Here is an 18,088-nt window from a genome sequence, read left to right on the forward strand (position 1 = left end):
CCGAGCCCTCTGAGGACGGTGAGGGCGATTGATAACCTCTGAGGTTCCGTCCACCCCTAGGGGCCCCTATCTTGGGAACCTCTGGATCCTTGTACGGTTCAGTTCCTAGAGGTCACAGCAGGGACACACACCGGGGAGGAACTGCGATTATATGGGGGAAGTGGTGACATTTTTAGAGCTTTCTACAGAACATTCTCCTGGTTCCTGCTCTCTATTCGCAGGGTGAGCGCCCACTGGAAGCCTCGCTGTGCTTCTGCTTTCTCCTGTAGTCCTTGGAAGCAAGGACTTCTTGTTCGTTCTTTAGGAACGGAAGCAAACGTTCTCGTTCAGATATGTGCCTCTCCCTGGTGAAGGAAGACCTCACTTCCTGGGATTTTTCTGTGGGATGGAGCAGCCAGGGACCCCATCTCTGGTGGGGGCGGGGCGGAGGGGGGTGCACCATGGGCTTAGAGCCCTCTGGGCCAGTGCTGCCTAGTCTGCTGCATAGCCCATTTGTTTTGTAGACTTGCAGTGCCAAATTTCAGCTTTCTGGGCTCCAACTACGGGCTTGAGCTCAGTGCTGCCCTAGAGGGTCCTGAATGCCTTCACTTATGGAACCTTAGAGTTGCAGAGACCATCAGAGATGATCCACTTTCCTTTAAAAAAAAGAAAAGAGGGCTGGGTAGGGTGGCTCACACCTGTAATCCCAGCACTTTGGGAGGCCGAGGTGGGTGGATCACTTGAGTTCAGGAGTTCAAGACCAGCCTGGCCAATATGGTGAAACCCCGTCTCTACTAAAAATATAAAAATTAGCCAGGCGTGGTGGCGGGCACCTGTAATCCCAGCTACTCAGGAGGCTGAGGCAGGAGAATTGCTTGAGCCCGGGAGGCAGAGAGGTTGCAGTGAGCCGAGATCACGCCACTGCGCTCCAGCCTGGATGACAGAGTGAGACTCCGAGAAAAAAAAAAAAAGTGGGGGGAAGAGTTGAAACCAGCTGAGGAAGGGGAGGAGCATGCTCCAAATGAATGAAACTGAGTGTTCAGTAGAGTCAGGACCTTGACCCAGGTGTCCAGACTCCCTGCCCTTCTTAGCATTATCAGGGCCCCCAGATCCACTACCAGCCTTGCCTTTGGATCGGGAGTAGGCAAGGAGAGCAAGAAGCTGCTCTTTGCTTAGCACGGCCACAGAGGCAATCCTGTTTGAGAACAGTCAACAAACAAACTCAAACAGGCCATGCACAGTGGCTCATGCCCATAATCCCAGTGCTTTCAGAGGCCAAGGTGGGAGGATCTCTTGAGGCCAGGAGTTTCAGACCAGCCTGGACAACATAGCAAGATTCTGTCTCTCTCTCTATATATATAAAATTAGCCAGGTGTGGTGGTGCTCACTTGTAGTCCCAGCTACTCAGGAGGGTGAGGCAGGAGGATCACTTGAACCTGGGAGGTGGAGGCTGCAGTGAGCTATGATCGCACCATTGCCCTCCAGCCTGGGTAACAGAGCAAGACCCCAACTCTGGGCCCAGCATGCTTCCAGTGTGTCACTCTACCGGCATGACCCTACCTCTTAAAAAAAAGAAATATGATGACTTAAGACCAAATGAGTGGCCAGGTATGGTGTCTCATGCCTGTAATCCCAGCACTTTGGGAGGCTGAGGTGGGCAGATCACCTGAGGTCAGGAGTTTGAAACCAGCCTGGCCAACACGGTGAAACCCCTGTCTCTACTAAAAATACAAAAATTAGCAGGGTGTGGTGGCTCATGCCTGTAATCCCAGCTACTTGAGAGGCTGAGGCACGAGAATTGCTTGAACCCAGGAGGCAGATGTTGCAGCGAGCCAAGATCATGCCACTGCACTCCAGCCTGGGCCACAGAACGAGACTCTGTCTCAAAAAATCCAAAGACCAAATGAGTGACTTGAACATAATCATTGTAGGGAACAAAACCCTCATATTAAAAAAAAAAAAAACAACAACCTTTATTTTATGGTAATTAAGTTCCGGAAAAGTTAACAAAAGTAGTTGGGTTTCCATATCTCCCTCATCTGGCTTCTGACATTAACAGCTTTCATAACCATGGTTCAGTTGTCAGATCCAGAAAATTACCACTGGTTGGCTGGGCACGGTGGCTCACTCCTGCAATCCCAGCACTTTGGGAGGCCAAGGCAGGCGGATTACGAAGTCGAGAGATCAAGACCATCCTGGGCAACATAGCGAAACCCCGTCTCTACTAAAAATACATAAATTAGCTGGGTGTGGTGGCACGCACCTGTAGTCCCAGCTACTCAGGAGGCTGAGGCAGGAGAATCGCTTGAACCTGGGAGGTAGAGGTTTCAGTGAGCCAAGATCACACCACTGCACTCCAGCCTGGTAATAGAGCGAGACTCCGTCCCCTCACCCCCCCAAAAAAAGAAAATTACCACTGGTATAATACTCTTAACTAAAGGTTTTTTTTTTCTTTCTTGATTTTTCACCAATTTCCCACTACTGTCCTCTTTCTGTCCCAGGATCCAATCCAGGGTCCCACTTTGCTTCCAGTTCTTATTCTCCCCGTCCTCCTCTGGGCTGGAACAGTTTGTCAGTCTTTATCTTTCATAACCTTGTTACTTTCAAAGAGGTGCTTTGTTGAATGTCCCTTAATTTGAGTTTGTCTTGTTTTCCCATGTTTGGACAAAGATAATGCCCTTTATTATTTCTTTTTTGACAGAGTCTCCAGCCTGGGCTGGAGTACAGTGGTGAGATCATAGCTCACTGCAGCCTTGAACTCCCAGGCTCAAGTGATCCTCCTGCCTCAGCCTCTCAAGTAGCTGGGACCACAGGTGCATGCCACCACACCTGGCTAGTTTTTTACTTTTTAGAGATGGGGTCTTGATTGTTGCCCAGGCTAGATAATGCATTTTTGACATTAAATCCCCCCAAAATGGTGTTGCATCCCTCCCAGAGCATCCTATCGTGGGGTTTATGATACTGACCTGTCTTTTACTGGTGATGACGGTCATGATCATTTGCTAAAGTGGTGTCTGCCAGGATTTTTCTCCTCTAAACAGGTGCTATGAGAACCTGCTTTTTTTTTTTTTTTTTTTGAGACTGAGTTTCTCTCTGTTGCCCAGGCTGGAGTGCAGTGGTGCAATCTCGGCTCACTGCAACCTCTGCTGCCCGAGGTTCAAGTGATTCTCCTGCCTCAGCCTCCCAAGTAGCTGGGATTACAGGCGCCTGCCACCACGCCTGGCTAATTTTTGTAGTTTTAGTAGAGACAGGATTTTGCCATCTTGGCCAGGCTGGTCTTGAACTCCTGACCTCGCGATCCACCCACCTTGGCCTCCCAAAGTGCTGAGATTATAGGCGTGAGCCACTGCACCCAGCCATTTTTTTTTTTTTTTTGAGACGGAGTCTTGCTCTGTTGTCCAGGCTGGAGTGCAGTGGCACGGTCTCAGCAACCTCCACCTCCTGGGTTCAAGTGATTCTCCTGCCTCAGCCTAATGAATAGCTGGGACTACAGCTGTGTGCCAGCATGCCCAGCTAATTTTTTATATTTTTAGTAGAGATGGGGTTTCACCGTGTTAGGATGGTATCAATCTCCTGACCTTGTGATCCACCTGCCTCGGCCTCCCAAAGTGCTGGGATTTCAGGCGTGAGCCACCACGCCTGGCCTGAGAGCCTGCATTTTGATGACACTAGTGAGTATAAAATATCTTTTTTTTTCTTTTTATTTTCTTTATTCACAACAGGTATGAAATGATTGTTTTCAGAGTCTTTATTTTTTTTTTTTTGAGACAGGGTCTCACTCTGTCGCCCAGGCTGGACTGCAGTGATGTGGTCATGGCTCACTGCAGCCTCAACCTCCTGGGTTCAAGCCATCCTCCTGCTTCAGCCTCCCAAGTACAGGTGCGCACCACCACACTTGGCAGACTTTTAAAAATTTTTTTGGAGATGGAGTCTCACTATGTTGCCCAGGCTGGTCTCAAACTCCTGGCCTCAAGTGATCCTCCCACCTCATCCTCCCAAAGTGCTGGGATTACCGGTGTGAGCCACCACACCCCTCCTGAGTCTCTCTGAATTGCCCAGGAAAACAAAACCAAAGGCCTCCACACAGGCACCCAAGGAGCGTAAAAGCGCGAAGACACCTCAGTGACTCCCACTTGGCCATGACGCAGTGTTTCTCCAGCTCTCGTTTCCAATAAGTCAGCGGTGTGCAGTAAGCTCTGCTCTTTTCTCCCCCAGTGCCTCCCTCCCCAGCGGTCCCTCAAGCAGCCCAGGGAGCGTCCCTGCCACTGTGCCCATGCAGATGCCAAAGCCCAGCAGAGTCCAGCAGGCGCTCGCAGGTAGGTGCCTGACCTCGGGCTGCAGAGCAGTCTGTGCCCTGCGGACTTGGTGGGGAGGAAATTGTGATGTGGGGCCTTGTCACCCTCTGGATCCTCAGGGAGAGCCAAAGGGGCTCCCTGGGGGAGCAGTGCCTCTTTCTGGTGATGGTGTCACCCCAGAGTGAGCCCAGGTGCCCCTCCTTTTGCTCTCTGGGTACGTGGGCCTGATGACGGTGGGCGCTCGGGTGCAGACCTTTTCACATCCTTTAACATTTTTGCATTGAATTGCATTATATTTAAATAGTCACTTTCCTGTCCTGAAATACTTTAAACATTTCCTTAAAGGGGCCCTCTGGGGAATTAATAGATCTATTTCGGCTGTAGTTACTCTTACATCTTGAATAAGAGGCACCTTTTGGGTCCAACCAGATCTTTTGCTGTACTAACCATACATCTTACATCTTGGAACTGTTTTGGGTTTGGTTTGGTTTTTTGTGAGACAAGAGTCTCGCTCTGTCACCCAGGCTGGAGTGCAGTGGCGCTAACCCAGCTCACTGAAGTCTTGAACTCCTGGGCTCAAGCAATCCTTTCACCTTAAGGATCCTTAAAAATACCTACTGCTGGCCCCCACACCCATTCTGTTTTAGCAGCCTGGCTAGCAGGGTTTTCAGAAGCTCCACAGGTGGCAGGATTTTTTTTCTTTTTTCTTTTTTTGAGATGGAGTCTCTCTCGCCCAGGCTGGAGTGCAGTGGTGGGATCTCGGCTCACTGCAACCTCTGCCTCCCAGGTTCAAGCAATTCTCCTGCCTCAGCCTCCCGAGTAGCTGGGATTACAGGTGCATGCCACCACGCCCGGGCAATTTTTGTATTTTTAGTAGAGATGGGGTTTCGCCATGTTGACCAGTCTGGTCTTGAACTCCTGACCTCAAGTGATCCATCCGCCTCGGCCTCCCAAAGTGCTGGGATTACAGGCATGAGCCACCGTGCCTGGCCATTTTTTTTTTCTTGTTATAAGAGACAGGATCTTGCTCTGTTCCCCAGGCTGGTGTGCAGTGGTGTAGTCATAGCTCACTGCAGCCTCCAACCCCTGGGCTGAAGCGATCCTTCTGCCTCAGCCTCCTGAGTAGCTGGGATTACAGACACATGCCACCATGCCAGGGAAGTTTTTTATTTTTTGTAGAGACAGGGTCTCACTATGTTGCCCAGGCTGGTCTTGAACTCCCAGGCTCAAGCCGTCTTCATGCCTTGGCCTCCCAAAGTGCTGGGATTCCAGTCATGAGCTGCCACGCCCAGCTGAGGTTATTTTCTAACTTCTGGAAAGTTCGAGGTATGTAAGGAGGTGGATGGCGCCATCGTTGTTCACAGGGTGATGTGGCGGAATTCAATAATGAGTTGGTGTTTTAGGGGAGTTGCTGTCATAGTGGCTGAGAGGGGACAGGCCTGGAGGTAGGGCGGCTGGTGCAGAGCCTGACCTCAGACCTGGGGGCACCAGCCAAGGCCTGACCAGCTTCGAGGCAGTGGAGTGGAGGGGGAGGTTTGGCTTGAAACATTCAGAGGCATGAGCCGTCAGGCGGGGGGTTGTGAGGGGGGATTGGGGGTAGACTGAGGCCTGCTGGAGTGCAGCCAGTCACAACTGAGGAGCAGCCTGGGGCTTGGCGTGTGTGAATTCATTTCGTCCTTAAATCACTGAGGTGGAGGCTTTTGTTCCCATTTTCATTAGAGGAAACTGAGGCTCGGAGAATTTAAAAATTCTCTGCCAGCCCTTGGCAGAGCTGAGACACAGCCCCGGGCCTTCTTGCCTATGACGGTTCAGTGCTGCTGAGTCTAGGGGGAGGTTGGGAGGGGGTGATGGCTGTGGAGTGGCCGTTGGAGCTGTTCCGGGGCAGTGGGATTTGGCTGTGGGCCTCAGAAGAGCAGTCTTGGGTGGAATGGGGTGCCCCTGACCCCTCGTGGGAGCGTGTGTGCCACAGAGACCGTGGGCAGGACTGAAGAGAAAATGAAGGAGCGGCCAGAGAGGTGGGGGCAGGAGGGAGAGGAGCTGGAGTGGGGCAGGGGAGACAGAATGAGCAAGACACACTGGCCAGAAAGTCCCTGCCCACTGAAGTCACCGTGCGGCGCCGTAGGGAAATCACAGTGTACCGTGTGTGCATGTGCGGCCGTGGTGGCATTGGAGACAGGTTGTGGGTAAACAGACGGGGCCCCCACACGGTTCCTCATGGCCCAGCTCCTTCCAGTTCTGGGGCTCTCGCAAGCCTTCGTGGCCAGGCCTGACAGTGAGCGACCTCTGAGGCCATGACACAGATCTAAGTGCTCTGGGTGTGGAGTTAGCACCTGCCCCCTTCCTCTGCTCTTGAGGCTGAAGGTCCTGTCCAGGCTGTGTCCCAAATTGTCCATCCTGTTGTCTGTCCCCGTTGCTCTCAGAGCAATCCTGGAGCTAAAGCAGGTATTTTAACATCCATTTTACTTGTGGGGAAATAGATTCGGGAAGCTGGTTCAGGCCTAAGGAAATAGGAGAGCCTGGAGGCTGTGTAGACTCCTGCCTCCCCCAATTCAAGGCCCAGTGTTGGTACCTACTGGGGGAGCATTGTCTAGGGGAGCAGGGAATGAGAGGAGCCTGGCCAGCACCCCGGAGCCAGAGCTGGAGAGCAGTGTCCTGTCACCCTGGTGTGCTTGTGGGTTGAGGAATTATACCATGCCCGGCTGCGGAGACGAGCGTTTGCGCACAGGCTTTTTGCAGAGAGGTTTATAACCAGGAGGTCATGCTTTGGAAGGACTGAGTGCTGGAGGCACTGCTTCCAGGTGACAGTGCCTCCAGGTGACAGCTCCCCTGGCTGTGGCATAGCCCAGTCCCTCTATCGGGTGGGGGCAGGGACTGTGAGGCTGGAGCCAGGGTCTCCACCCCTCACCTGGTCACAGCAGCGGTCCATCCACAGCTCACACTGCTGCCTGGGGCAGGGATGGGTGTCAGCAGCCTGCCCAGGACTGCTCAGCTGGTGAGGGCTGGCACTGGGCTCGAACCCAGGCTGGGGAGGTCAGAGCGCACAGAGGAGAGGCTTGGATCTCAGCCCTGGCCCTGGGTGTCAGAAGGAGGGGTGTCTGCAAATTGGAAGTGAGAATCAGTGAGTGGGGGCTTCACTCTTCAGGGCTCTGACAGCGGGAATCCTCCCAGATGGGTGGAGAAAAAGGCTGTGGCCCTCCGAGTTATTCAGGTGTTTTGGGGGCTGTCAGGAGTTTGGGGGGCTGTCCCTAGCCCTCCTCCTCTCCAGGCTTCTGGGTTGAAACTTGTGTGTTTGTGACTTGAATTCAGGGGAGTGGGTCCTGCATTGAAAAGGACACGTGTGTCACTCATGCGGCCTCCTGGGGGCTGGTGGTGGCCCAAGGATGTCTTCATTCCTCAGCAAACACAGAGGGCTGCAGGCTTCCCAGGGATCAGGCACTGCCCCAGCGGGGTGCTGGAGATGCAGCTACGGGTGGGACCTCGTGGAACTCGTGCTGAGGGAAGACAGTCCATAGAAACAGAGGGGAGTGCAAAGCAGGAGTCCAGCAGGGTGGGGCGGGAGGCTTGGAGGGACAGGCCCCGTCAGGCAGTGTTCAGGGAAGGCCTGCCCGCTGAGGCAGTGTTGCCGGAGAACCCTGGGTAGGGAGACGTGTCCTGGCCTTTGGTCCTCCCAGACGACGTGGGCAGCGCAGAGGCACCAGATTCTCTTGAGGAAAACTGCACCTGTCCTTGTCCTCTCTCATCTCTCTGCCACCCGCGCCCGCTTGTCCTTCTCTCCACCCGACATTCAGTTCCCACAGGAACCGCATTTGAGCCCAGGAACAAGCTTGGGATGTTGGGGGCATTGAGCTCCCGGGCTCAAACCTCTGTCCTCTGATGCACGCTTTGGTGTCTCCTGCTGAGGGCCACTGCAACTCACCCTGCCCACCTCGGCTCTGCTGCCCAGGCTGGTGGCTGGTCTCCGCTTCTGTCCCCACAGCCAGGCACATGTGCCGGGTTGAGAAGCTTTGTTCTTCTAGTGGGGGCGCAGTGGCTGGCCTGGCCGCCCTTCACCCCTGAGTCACGCCATCTGTTCCTGGATGGGGAGTGGGGTCCAGGAGGACTGGGATTTCTACCAACTCCCCCGGCAGCCGGCTGTGCCCAGCTCCTGAGCCAGGTTCTGCAGACCCTGGAAGCCACCTTAAGAGATGGCTAAGAAGCTCTAGGCTTCCCCTTTCTCTGGAGAGGAGGTGCTTTTGACCTAACTGACCGATGACAGGGAGGACCGGGGAGCTGGCACTATGGAAAGTGGGGTAGGCCGAGGGTGTGGCAGGAACGGGTTCGTCCAGCAGGACACGCTGTGTCCCAGGAAGCGCTGGGTCATCAGGGAGCACGAAGGAAGCAGTGTCAGAGGAGAGTCCCCCAGGGCAAGTGTGGGGTTCCCTGCAGGCATCCGGCAGTGGTGAGCTCTGGAAAGAGTGGCCGGTCTGTCCCAGCATAGCTGCTGGCCACAGGCCCACCCTTGCCCGAGGGCGCCAGAGCCACAGCCTGGGGCCTTGCTGCAGCCCAGCCCTCACAGTATGGGGATGCTGCAGTGTGGGAGCAGGCCCAGGGGCCACGTTCCTGCCCGCCTACCCCAGCGCTGTCGCTGAAGGCCCTGGCACCCAGATCAGCCAGGAGGGGCATGGAGCACACACAGCACCCAGTGGAGGCTGGAGGCCTAGTAACTCCAAGCCAGGAGGGCCCAGGGCCTCCTGGGGAAGCTGAGCCCTTGGAGCCAGCCCCACCCAGGAGACCCCGTGCCCCGGGCGGCTTCCTGGAGTGGCGTCCTCCGCCCTCTGCTCTCCTGAAGTCACGGGTCCTGCCCCGGTGCCCACCTGCACACTGAGGGCACGGGCTTGTCTGTTGCTCCTATAGAAACCTGTGGGCTCTGGGGCCAGGGCTACCATGAGCCAGGCTGCCCCACCCTCTGATTCCTGGCCTGGGTAGTCCCCAGGGAGACCTGTGCGTCCCCGTGGCCATTGATGGTGTCACATCCTTGGCCTGAGCAGGGTTTGTTGGCGTCACATGCCGAAGGAGTCTTCTAATGTCTCTCCCTCTCTGCGTGTCTGCTCTCACACCCGTGCAGGCATGACGAGTGTTCTGATGTCAGCCATTGGACTCCCTGTGTGTCTTAGCCGCGCACCCCAGCCCACCAGCCCTCCCGCCTCCCGTCTGGCTTCCAAAAGTCACGGCTCAGTTAAGAGATTGAGGAAAATGTCCGTGAAAGGTAGTTCTTGTTCCCAAAAGCTCTCTGGCCTTTGCTAAGCCTCCTTCCGGCCTCGCTGCCTCTGACTCTTCTGCACAGACCCTCTTCCTTCTCTCTGCTCCCTGACTCCTGGGGGAAGGGGCTCAGTGGCCCTTCTCCCTGCCCCCGCTCGGCAGCAGAGGCGGCCCCTGGAAGCTGACTTTCCACCGCAGCCCCAGAGTTCAGCTCCTCTCCTCCAGTCACAGCTGGCATGAGGGGGCTTGTTCTTGAGGACTTTGTGATTTTTGTAAGCAACAAGTTGTGGGTGAGAGGCGGCGCCCGGCTCAGGATGCGGGGACAACCGTCCCTTCCGCCAGGGCCAGCACGTGTCTCGGGAAAGGCCCCCAGACAGCGGCCCAGGTCTGCTGCCCAGGTCTGCTGCCCTGACCCCCAGCCCTGTGTGGCCGCCACGTGGGCTGCTTGAGAGGGGTCCCTCGGTGACCCCTGCCCTGCTCGTTGCATGGCCACAGAAGAAGGGGCTTTAGGACCACAGCAGGTCCAGGGAGTTACAGCAAGACCTGCTCGGAGCAGCCTGTGATGGTCAAGTTCTGAACCTTTCCCAAGCGGGTGCTGGCCCTGCTTCCACCCCTGGGCTGTGGAAGTGTGGACTGTGGCCAGTCCAGACGCTCTTGAGTGGGCGTGGTGGCGGGCAGGGAGGGTGGCCGTGGCCCTGCTGGCCCTCAGTGTCTGTGTCATCTCAGCAGGTCCTCTCGGAGCCTCCGCTTAGCAGAGGGGCTTGGCGAGGTCTAGGAAATACTCGAAGCGCCTGGCATGCGGCAAGGGTGGCTTCCGATCGTGTCCGACCTCCAGCCCACAGGCGAGGAGGTGGGCTCAGGGAGGGGTGGGCCTCGAGCTCCTGCCCCCAGCCCAGGGCTCTGCACGCCCTGCCCTTCCCCTGCCCTGGGGGAGGAGCCAGACTCGTTGGCAGCCCGGGCTGGCAACCTTCTGTGGCACTCGGGTTTACCTGGGAAGGACACGCTCTTGGTGGGTCGCCTGGCTGGCCCCTTCTGAGACACGTGGCTAATGGAAAGCTCCCTTCTGCTCTGAAAAGCTGCAAGGGCTGGGGTGGGTGGGCGGGGGTGGGATGCTGTGCCCGGCCTCACCAGGGCTGGGCAGAGGCGAGGCCCAGGCTCACCCGGAGATGGCTCTGGAGTTGGCAGGCTTTTCCAAAGGAAAAGGCCCCCCTCAGCCTGAGTAGGGCATTCCAGCCACACGGAGGGCGACCCTGAGCTGGGGGCCATCGTTCTGGTCTGGCGTTCTCGCCACCGTGACAGGATTTGGGTTCGGGCAGTCTGTATGGGTGTGTGGAGGTGTGGGGTGTGTGGGGTGTGTAGAGGTGAGGGTGTGTGGGGTGTGTGGAGGTGAGGGTGTGTGGGGTGTGTGGAGGTGTGGGGTGTATGGAGGTGTGGAGTGTGTGTGGAGTGTGTGTGGAGGTGTGGGGTGTATGGAGGTGGGTGTGTGGGGTGTATGGAGGTGTGAGGTGTGTGGAGGGGTGAGGTGTGTAGGGTGTGTAGAAGTGTGGGGTGTGTGAGGTGGGGTGTGAGGTGTGTGGAGGTGGGTGTGTGGAGCTGTGTGTGGTGTGTGGAGGTGTGAGGTGTGTGGAGGTGTGGGGTGTGTGGAGCTGTGTGGGGTGTATGGAGGTGTAGGGTGTGAGGAGGTGTGGAGGTGTGGGGTGTGTGGATGGGGGTTGGGGGGTGTGGTCTTGCCAGCAGTTTCCCTCCAGGTCACAGCAGCCATGCCATCACAGCAATTCCAGCTTGGTTACATATTCGTCTTTCCCGTTTGAGATCAGGGAACCGAGGCTCAGAGGTGGCATGATTCGTTCACAGCAAGAGAACTAGAATTAAACAAACCGTGCCGACTCCAGCCTCCACCCCACCACGCCACCTCCCTGCCAAACTGTCCCCTCCCTGGCCCTTTTTGGTGTAAAGGGAGTTCAGCAGGTGCAGTTGTGAGCCCTCAGGCTTAGAATTCTCTGCAGCCCCTGAAGGCCGTGAGCTTGGATTCAAACCAGAGCCCCTTCTGGTCCTGGAGTCTGGGACGACCGCAGCCCCACCATGACCTTGGGGTGGAGCCCCTGTCAGGAGCGCCTCCACGGGTGGCACTGGGCTCCCCGTCCCTCTTTCACCCCCGCACGGGCTTGGCTGCTGGCTTCTGTGGTTCTGCTACTCCCACTACCTAGAGAACGCCCCGGGCCGCGCCGATCCTCACCAGCTCAGGAGCTTCTTGTCCGTAGGAGAGGCTTTACTGGATGTGGGGTTCGGTGTTTATGGAGATGCAGCCCTTCTCCCTCCAGCTTCGTGCACGTGTGCACAGACAGCGAGTGAGGCCGTCAGGGTGGGCTCCTGCCACGTCTTGGCCCCTCCCCAGAGTCGCTGGACTTAGGAGCTAGTCTGCATGTGACAGACCTTCCCAGTCAGTGGCAGGCGTTTCCCGGGACAGTGTCTGTGTGGCGGTCGGCGTGTGTGCAGCTGCCTGTACATGCTGGACCCCAGACTCCCTTGTCCCTGTGATGTTCATGCCAGGGTAATGCAAGTTGAATCAAATCGTGGTGCCACAACGCCCCCTGGAGTAGTTTGTGCCCGAAGCGGCTGTCTGACTCTTCCGCGCAGCCTCAGAAGCGCCGGGGTCGGTTCCTCACTCAATGTGCGCGGGGATGCGGCTCCCAGGAGACTGTGCTGCTGTTTCTGCTCTTCTGCATCCTCCATGGCTCCTGGGGCTGAGCCGGGTCCCCGGACGGTGGGACTGGGGAAGGCTTTGCCCGACGGAGCTCGGGGCTCTGTGCCTGGCGCTGAGCTCTCCCGTCCCGCACACTGGCCTCCCTGTCTGGGCCCCTCTCGCATTTCCTCCTGGCAGCTTAGACCTCTTCCTTCCCTTCCTCGCCCTCTGGCCTCCTCTCCAGCCTGTGCTCCTCAGGACGCTGCTTATGTACTTCTCTCTTCTAGGAGCGACCCCGAAGCCAGAGCCAGAGCCAGAGCAGGTCATAAAAAACTACACGGAAGAGCTGAAAGTGCCCCCAGATGAGGTTTGTGTCTTGGGACCTTGGCTGCCTTTGTTTCTGTTTGGAAACAACTCCACATGGAAAGGACATCCGCCCCATCTTGCTTGAAGGGTGCTTCCCAGGTGCCTCTGGGTGCCAGGGCCTTGCTCCAGCCCCTTTGGTTTCATCTCCCAGCCTCCCGAGACCCACATCGTTATGGTCTGAGCTTTGCACTTAAGGAGCTGTGGTCCTGAGCAAAGCCCCTCCTCTCCCGGCCCTGGCCTCTCCATAGCCTGATGGCCATCCTGGGAGCAGGAATTCCAGAGACAAGGGATGGGCCAGCCTGCCCCACTCTCCACCTTGCGGATGCTGGTGTAGAAGTGAGGTGGCCTCGTCCAGGTGGCTGTCCTGCCCCCCGGCTATTGGGAGAGCTGGTCAAGGTTCTTATAATTTTTTTATTCTTAAAGACGGGTGCACACTGTCGCCCAGGCTCAGTGCAGTGGCGTGATCACAGCTCACTGCAGCCCTGTCCTCCTGACCTCCTGTAATGAACAGGACCAATCAGACTCCTGTTGCGCTTCCATAGAACCTGAACCTCTACTGAGCCACGTTTTGGGGGCTGCAGCACCACTTTCCCCTGATTTTAGCTGGGAGCCCTGGAGATACTGTTGGGGGAGGGGGTGGGTGAACGGCCGGGAGTACCAGTACCCAGAGATCTTCAGATACTTGGGGGCGGGTGGAAGGCCAGGAGCCCCAGTACCCAGGGACTCTTCACTTGTCTCTTTCTCCAGTCTGTTGAGTCCATGAGAAAAATCTGGTAAGTAAAGGTTTGGAAAGGAGCCTGAACGTCCTCCTCATGTGTCCCACCCCTTCCACAAGCCCTTGCCACATTCCCGCCTGCCCAGCGCTCAGCTCTGTCTCGGCCCTGGTGTCCATCTGGTGTGACTGGGCCGTTTCACCCCAGGCTCCTCCTCTCCAAGCTGCCGTCTGCACAGCCAGCACGCAGCTTGGATCATGGGAGCACTCCCTGCCTGGAACCGCCAGCAGGACCCCCAACTCACACACAGCCCCAAGCCCCTGAGTGTGGCAGCCAGACCCCCGAGGGCGCGCCTCTCCCTGATCCTGTCTCATCTCCTGCTCCCAGCCCACCCCCTGCCAGCTTTAGTGCCCATGAGCTGGCTCCTCGTTCAGAACGTCCTCCTCCCTCTTCCGGGTGCCCACTCTGTGCTTGTCCATCTGGCAATTCCTGTCTCCCTTGTAAGACCCCACGCCGAGGGCCTCCCCCAGGATCCTGCCCTGTCCGTCCTCCCCATTTGGTGGCTTCTGCTGTCATGTCGGGCCTGTGCTGCTGGTAAGCCCTTCAGAGGCACAGGTCCCGGTGACTCACCTGTGTCTCCAGCCTGTGGAATGGACTTTTTTTTTTTTTTTTCTGAGACGGAGTCTCGCTCTGTCACCCAGGCTGGAGTGCAGTGGCACAATCTCAGCTCTGCAACCTCTGCCCCCTGAGTTCAAGCGATTCTCTTGCCTCAGCCTCCCGAGTAGCTGGGATTATAGGCACCTGCCAACACGCCCAGCTAATTTTTGTATTCTTAGTAGAGATGGGGTTTTCCCGTGTTGGCCAGGCTGGCCTCAAATTCCTGACCTCAAGTGATCGGCCTCCTAGAGTGCTGGGATTACAGGCCTGAGCCACTGCGCCTGGCCTCGGAATTGACTTTGACTGCACTTCCAGCATTTCAGCACATGAAAGCCTCTTTTTCCAAGACTGGCCCACGTCAGCCCAGCCCACTGTTGGCGAGCATGACCCATGTTTGGTCTCCTCCAGGACTGCATCATCTGCATGGAGAAGCTGTCCACAGCGTCTGGATACAGCGATGTGACTGACAGCAAGGCAATCGGGTCCCTAGCTGTGGGCCACCTCACCAAGTGCAGCCATGCCTTCCACCTGCTGTGCCTCCTGGCCATGTACTGCAACGGCAATAAGGTGCCCCCACTGGCCCAGGGCGGAGGCGGGTGGCCCGCCCCCACAGTCCTGAGCTGTCCCCTGCAGGGGCGGGAGGGTTCCGGGGGTGGCTGTAGGAATGGGCCTCTGCAAAAGATGGTGCTGGGCGTGGGGCCAGCTTGAAGACCTTTCTAAAGGCCTGGCCGGCTCTCCTAGGCCTGCCCTACTCTTCTAGGTCTGCCCCACACTTTAGAAAGGAGGACCAGTGCGGCTGGTTCCCTCCACCCCTCCAGCCAGGCCTGAGAAGATTCTGGGCTTCTCTGAGCCCCAGGGCACCGCCTCCCCCTCGGCCACTTGTAAGCACCGCAGACACTGTCTCCCTTCTTCCTTACAGCATCCCTGTGCAGTCAGCACAGTGCTCATGAGGGAGAGGCTCAGAGCAGGGGCTGTGCCCAGGGTCACCCCACTGGGAGGTGGGAGCCAGGCCTTGAGGCAGGGCTGATCCTGGGCCCCACAGCAGCCTACACATGAAGAGCCGCGCCCAGACTGACCCCCAGCTGCTCTCCCTGCATCGGCCTTCAGGCGGGATGGGCAGAGTTTAGAGGCTTAGAGAACCGAGTCATGTGGCGCATCGGAGCCTGGCTCGGCCTTCCCTAGTGTCTGCCATCCTGGGCAGCCAGGGCCCAGCTCCGCAGATCAGACGCTGCAAGGCTGTCTATCCGACTGCAAATGCGATTCACCCGTGGAGATTTCTGCTCAGGATCCGAGTTTTCCCACTCGCCACCTGTCTCCTGATAGCATGTCCCTTAACGAAAATGGCATGAGTTGCTGGTGCAAAACAAAGCTTTCCAGGGAAGCTGTTGGAAGCCAGTTTCCGGGCAGGAGGCTGCCAGCAACTCCCTGGGATGGTGGCCAGCCCATTCCCGGGGCCCTTTACCATCTGACGGTGGAGGTGACGGTCTTGGGTGTTCTCAGACTGCCAGCTCAGTGGGTTGCGTCTGCCTCTGTCAGGATGGAAGTCTGCAGTGTCCCTCCTGCAAAACCATCTATGGAGAGAAGACGGGGACCCAGCCCCAGGGAAAGATGGAGGTATTACGGTTCCAGATGTCGCTCCCCGGCCACGAGGACTGCGGGACCATCCTCATAGTTTACAGCATTCCCCATGGTATCCAGGTGAGGGGCCTTCTTGAGTCCCCCACTCCTGGCCACTCCTCTTCCCACCCCGCCCACATCCCAGCAGTCTGCCCCTGGATCAAGGCTGAGGATGCCCATGTGGCCAAGCTCAGGCCCCCAGGTCCCCTAAGGCCAGAGCCATGGAGGGCCGGGAATGGGGAGGCAGTGCCGGGGCTTAGGGTAAGCTCTTAGGGCTGTGGCAGCAAAAGGCTGGCCCTCCACTCTTTCCTGAACCAAGGAAGCCTTCCTAGAGGAGGAGCCATCTTAGCTGGACTTGTTCTGGGCAGAAGGGCAGGCAGTTCAGTGGGAGGAACCCTGCGGAGGGGCTGGAGAAGCGGGGCCACAGCAGGGTGTGCGTCGAGGAACCTTGGGTTGGGAGTGGCAGGGCCAGGCGTGTGGGTGTCAGGAGCCCAGGCACAAGGCCCCAGAGTCCCAGAGGAGACTCAGACGGGCCCTAGCCCTTTCGGTCTCCTGTCTTGAGCCAAGGTGGATCGTAGGGCCTGGGGCAGGGTGGGAAGATAACGGGGCAGCAGGCAGCGGGCACTGGCTGCCAGCCAAGGTCCACCTGTGGTGGATGGAGGCATCTTTTTGTCTTGTTGAACCATGAGCCTTTCCCCTGGTTTCCCTCCACTTCTCCACAGCTCAGAGGGAAATTCAGGAACATTCGGGGTTGGCATCTCGGAGCGGGGGAGGAGCTGGAGCTGTGCAGGGGCCTGTCCCTGTGCGGGCTCTCGGAGCACCCTATCCTGGTGTCTGTTCCTCCCGCAGGGCCCTGAGCACCCCAATCCCGGAAAGCCGTTCACTGCCAGAGGGTTTCCCCGCCAGTGCTACCTTCCAGACAACGCCCAGGGCCGCAAGGTGAGTGCCACCATGCGCCCGGGGGGTGGACGGGGCCCTGACCAGGCGGCAGGAGGCCAGGCGCCACACTGGACTCTGCTTCTGCAGCGGAGGACAGAGGCTGAGGCCGGGCCGAGTGTCTGCTGCTCTTTTCTGGGGACCTGCTGTAGGTACAGGGAGGGCAGCCTGGACCTCACATAGCCTCGAGGGAGGAGGAGAGGCCATCACCTTCCAGCACCCTGCCGGGTGGGGTCAGGAGCTCCTGAGAGTCAGAGTGTGACAGGCAGGGACCGGGGGCTGTGTTAGACCAGGTGACCACGGAAGGCTGGAGCAGTGGTGTCTGCACTGAGACATGAATAGGGACTTTGTGGCTGCAGAGAAGGTTGGGGACGAGCCTTCCAGGAAGGCAGGATAGTGGGAGCCCGTGGTGTGGGTGTGAAGACAGGGTGCCCCCCAGGCCAGCACCAGGGGTAGAGCTGGTTCTGAGCGCCCAGCGAAGCCACGGAGGTGGAGCTGCTGATGGAGCTTTGGAAAAGCTCTGGCCGTGTGAGAATGGGCTTGAGGTGGCGGAGCTGGAGGCGGGGAGAGGGCAGGGAGAGGGCAGGGAGGCCTGGATTCCACCAGGGAGGGTGGGTGGGCGGGCGCTCGTCCAGCAACGGCTGTGGAAGCAGGGAGGACTCGAGCATGGTGCCTGGGCATCAGGACCAAACGGATGGCAGTGCCAGGCACTGAGGCGGGGTGGGCTGGAGCCCAGGTTCATGTGGGATCCTAATGTACTATCCAGTGGGCAGTTTTGGGGTCCCTGCAGATGGGGTGAGTGCCAGGGAGTGGATGAGTCACCTGGGAGGGGCTGGGATGGGAAGAACATGGTGCCAACCCGTGCCTGCTCACTGAGCCCCTCTCACTCTCCGTCCCCTCCTTCCTCTTCCCCCTCCTCCTCCCCGGGCAGGTCCTAGAGCTCCTGAAGGTGGCCTGGAAGAGGCGGCTCATCTTCACAGTGGGCACGTCCAGCACCACGGGTGAGACGGACACCGTGGTATGGAACGAGATCCACCACAAGACAGAGATGGACCGCAACATTACGGGCCACGGCTATCCCGACCCCAACTACCTGCAGAACGTGCTGGCTGAGCTGGCTGCCCAGGGGGTGACCGAGGACTGCCTGGAGCAGCAGTGACCTCGCACCCCAGCACGCCCGCCTCTGGTGGCCACCCCGCTGCCCCATGGCTGGCTGGGTGGCCAGGCAGGAAGTGCCCAGCCCGAGAGGCTGGGAGGTTTGTTGAGGGTGTGGGGTGTGCCCCACCTGAAGCCGGGGCTCCCCCTGCCTGCCTCTCTCTCCTCCTCCCCTCTGGGAATTGGGCAGCCCTGGGCAGTTGTACTCATGGGGGCTTAGGATGCAGCTACCTCAGTGCGCAGGGCCCGTCTGTCCTCTGGGGGCTGCTTCGGGCCCGCGGTGCTCGGGGCCTGGTGTGGGGCGAGTAGAGACTTCCCCAGCCTGGACGGGCGTGGGTTCTGGGTCAGCTTCTTTTACCTCAATTTTGTTTGCAATAAATGCTCTATAGCCAAAGCCAGCAGGTCCTGAGTGTGTGCATGCATGCGTGTGTGCGCACTTGTGTGTGTGT

General features: G+C 58.0%; 1 protein-coding gene across 20 annotated transcripts in view; it reads left to right on the forward strand.

Moving 5' to 3' along the window:
• Nucleotides 1-18,033, forward strand: part of DTX2 (deltex E3 ubiquitin ligase 2) — a 44,283-nt gene extending 26,250 nt beyond the window's left edge. For 13 of the 20 annotated variants that reach the window (XM_047419856.1, XM_047419854.1, XM_047419855.1 and 10 more), the window contains 7 exons: nt 4,195-4,295; nt 9,379-9,519; nt 12,483-12,562; nt 14,340-14,498; nt 15,468-15,629; nt 16,398-16,487; nt 17,416-18,033. In XM_047419856.1, the coding sequence (XP_047275812.1) occupies nt 4,195-4,295; nt 9,379-9,519; nt 12,483-12,562; nt 14,340-14,498; nt 15,468-15,629; nt 16,398-16,487; nt 17,416-17,643 (961 nt within the window). In that variant the 3' untranslated portion in view covers nt 17,644-18,033. Of the gene's footprint in view, nt 1-4,194; nt 4,296-9,378; nt 9,520-12,482; nt 12,563-14,246; nt 14,277-14,339; nt 14,499-15,467; nt 15,630-16,397; nt 16,488-17,415 lie in introns of those variants that run through there. The other 7 variants (XM_047419858.1, XM_017011726.3, XM_047419859.1 and 4 more) reach the window with 4 other exon arrangements.
• The last annotated feature ends 55 nt before the right edge of the window (nt 18,034-18,088 follow it).

Source organism: Homo sapiens, chromosome 7, assembly GCF_000001405.40.
Source record: "Homo sapiens chromosome 7, GRCh38.p14 Primary Assembly".
Taxonomy (NCBI): Eukaryota; Metazoa; Chordata; class Mammalia; order Primates; family Hominidae; genus Homo; species Homo sapiens.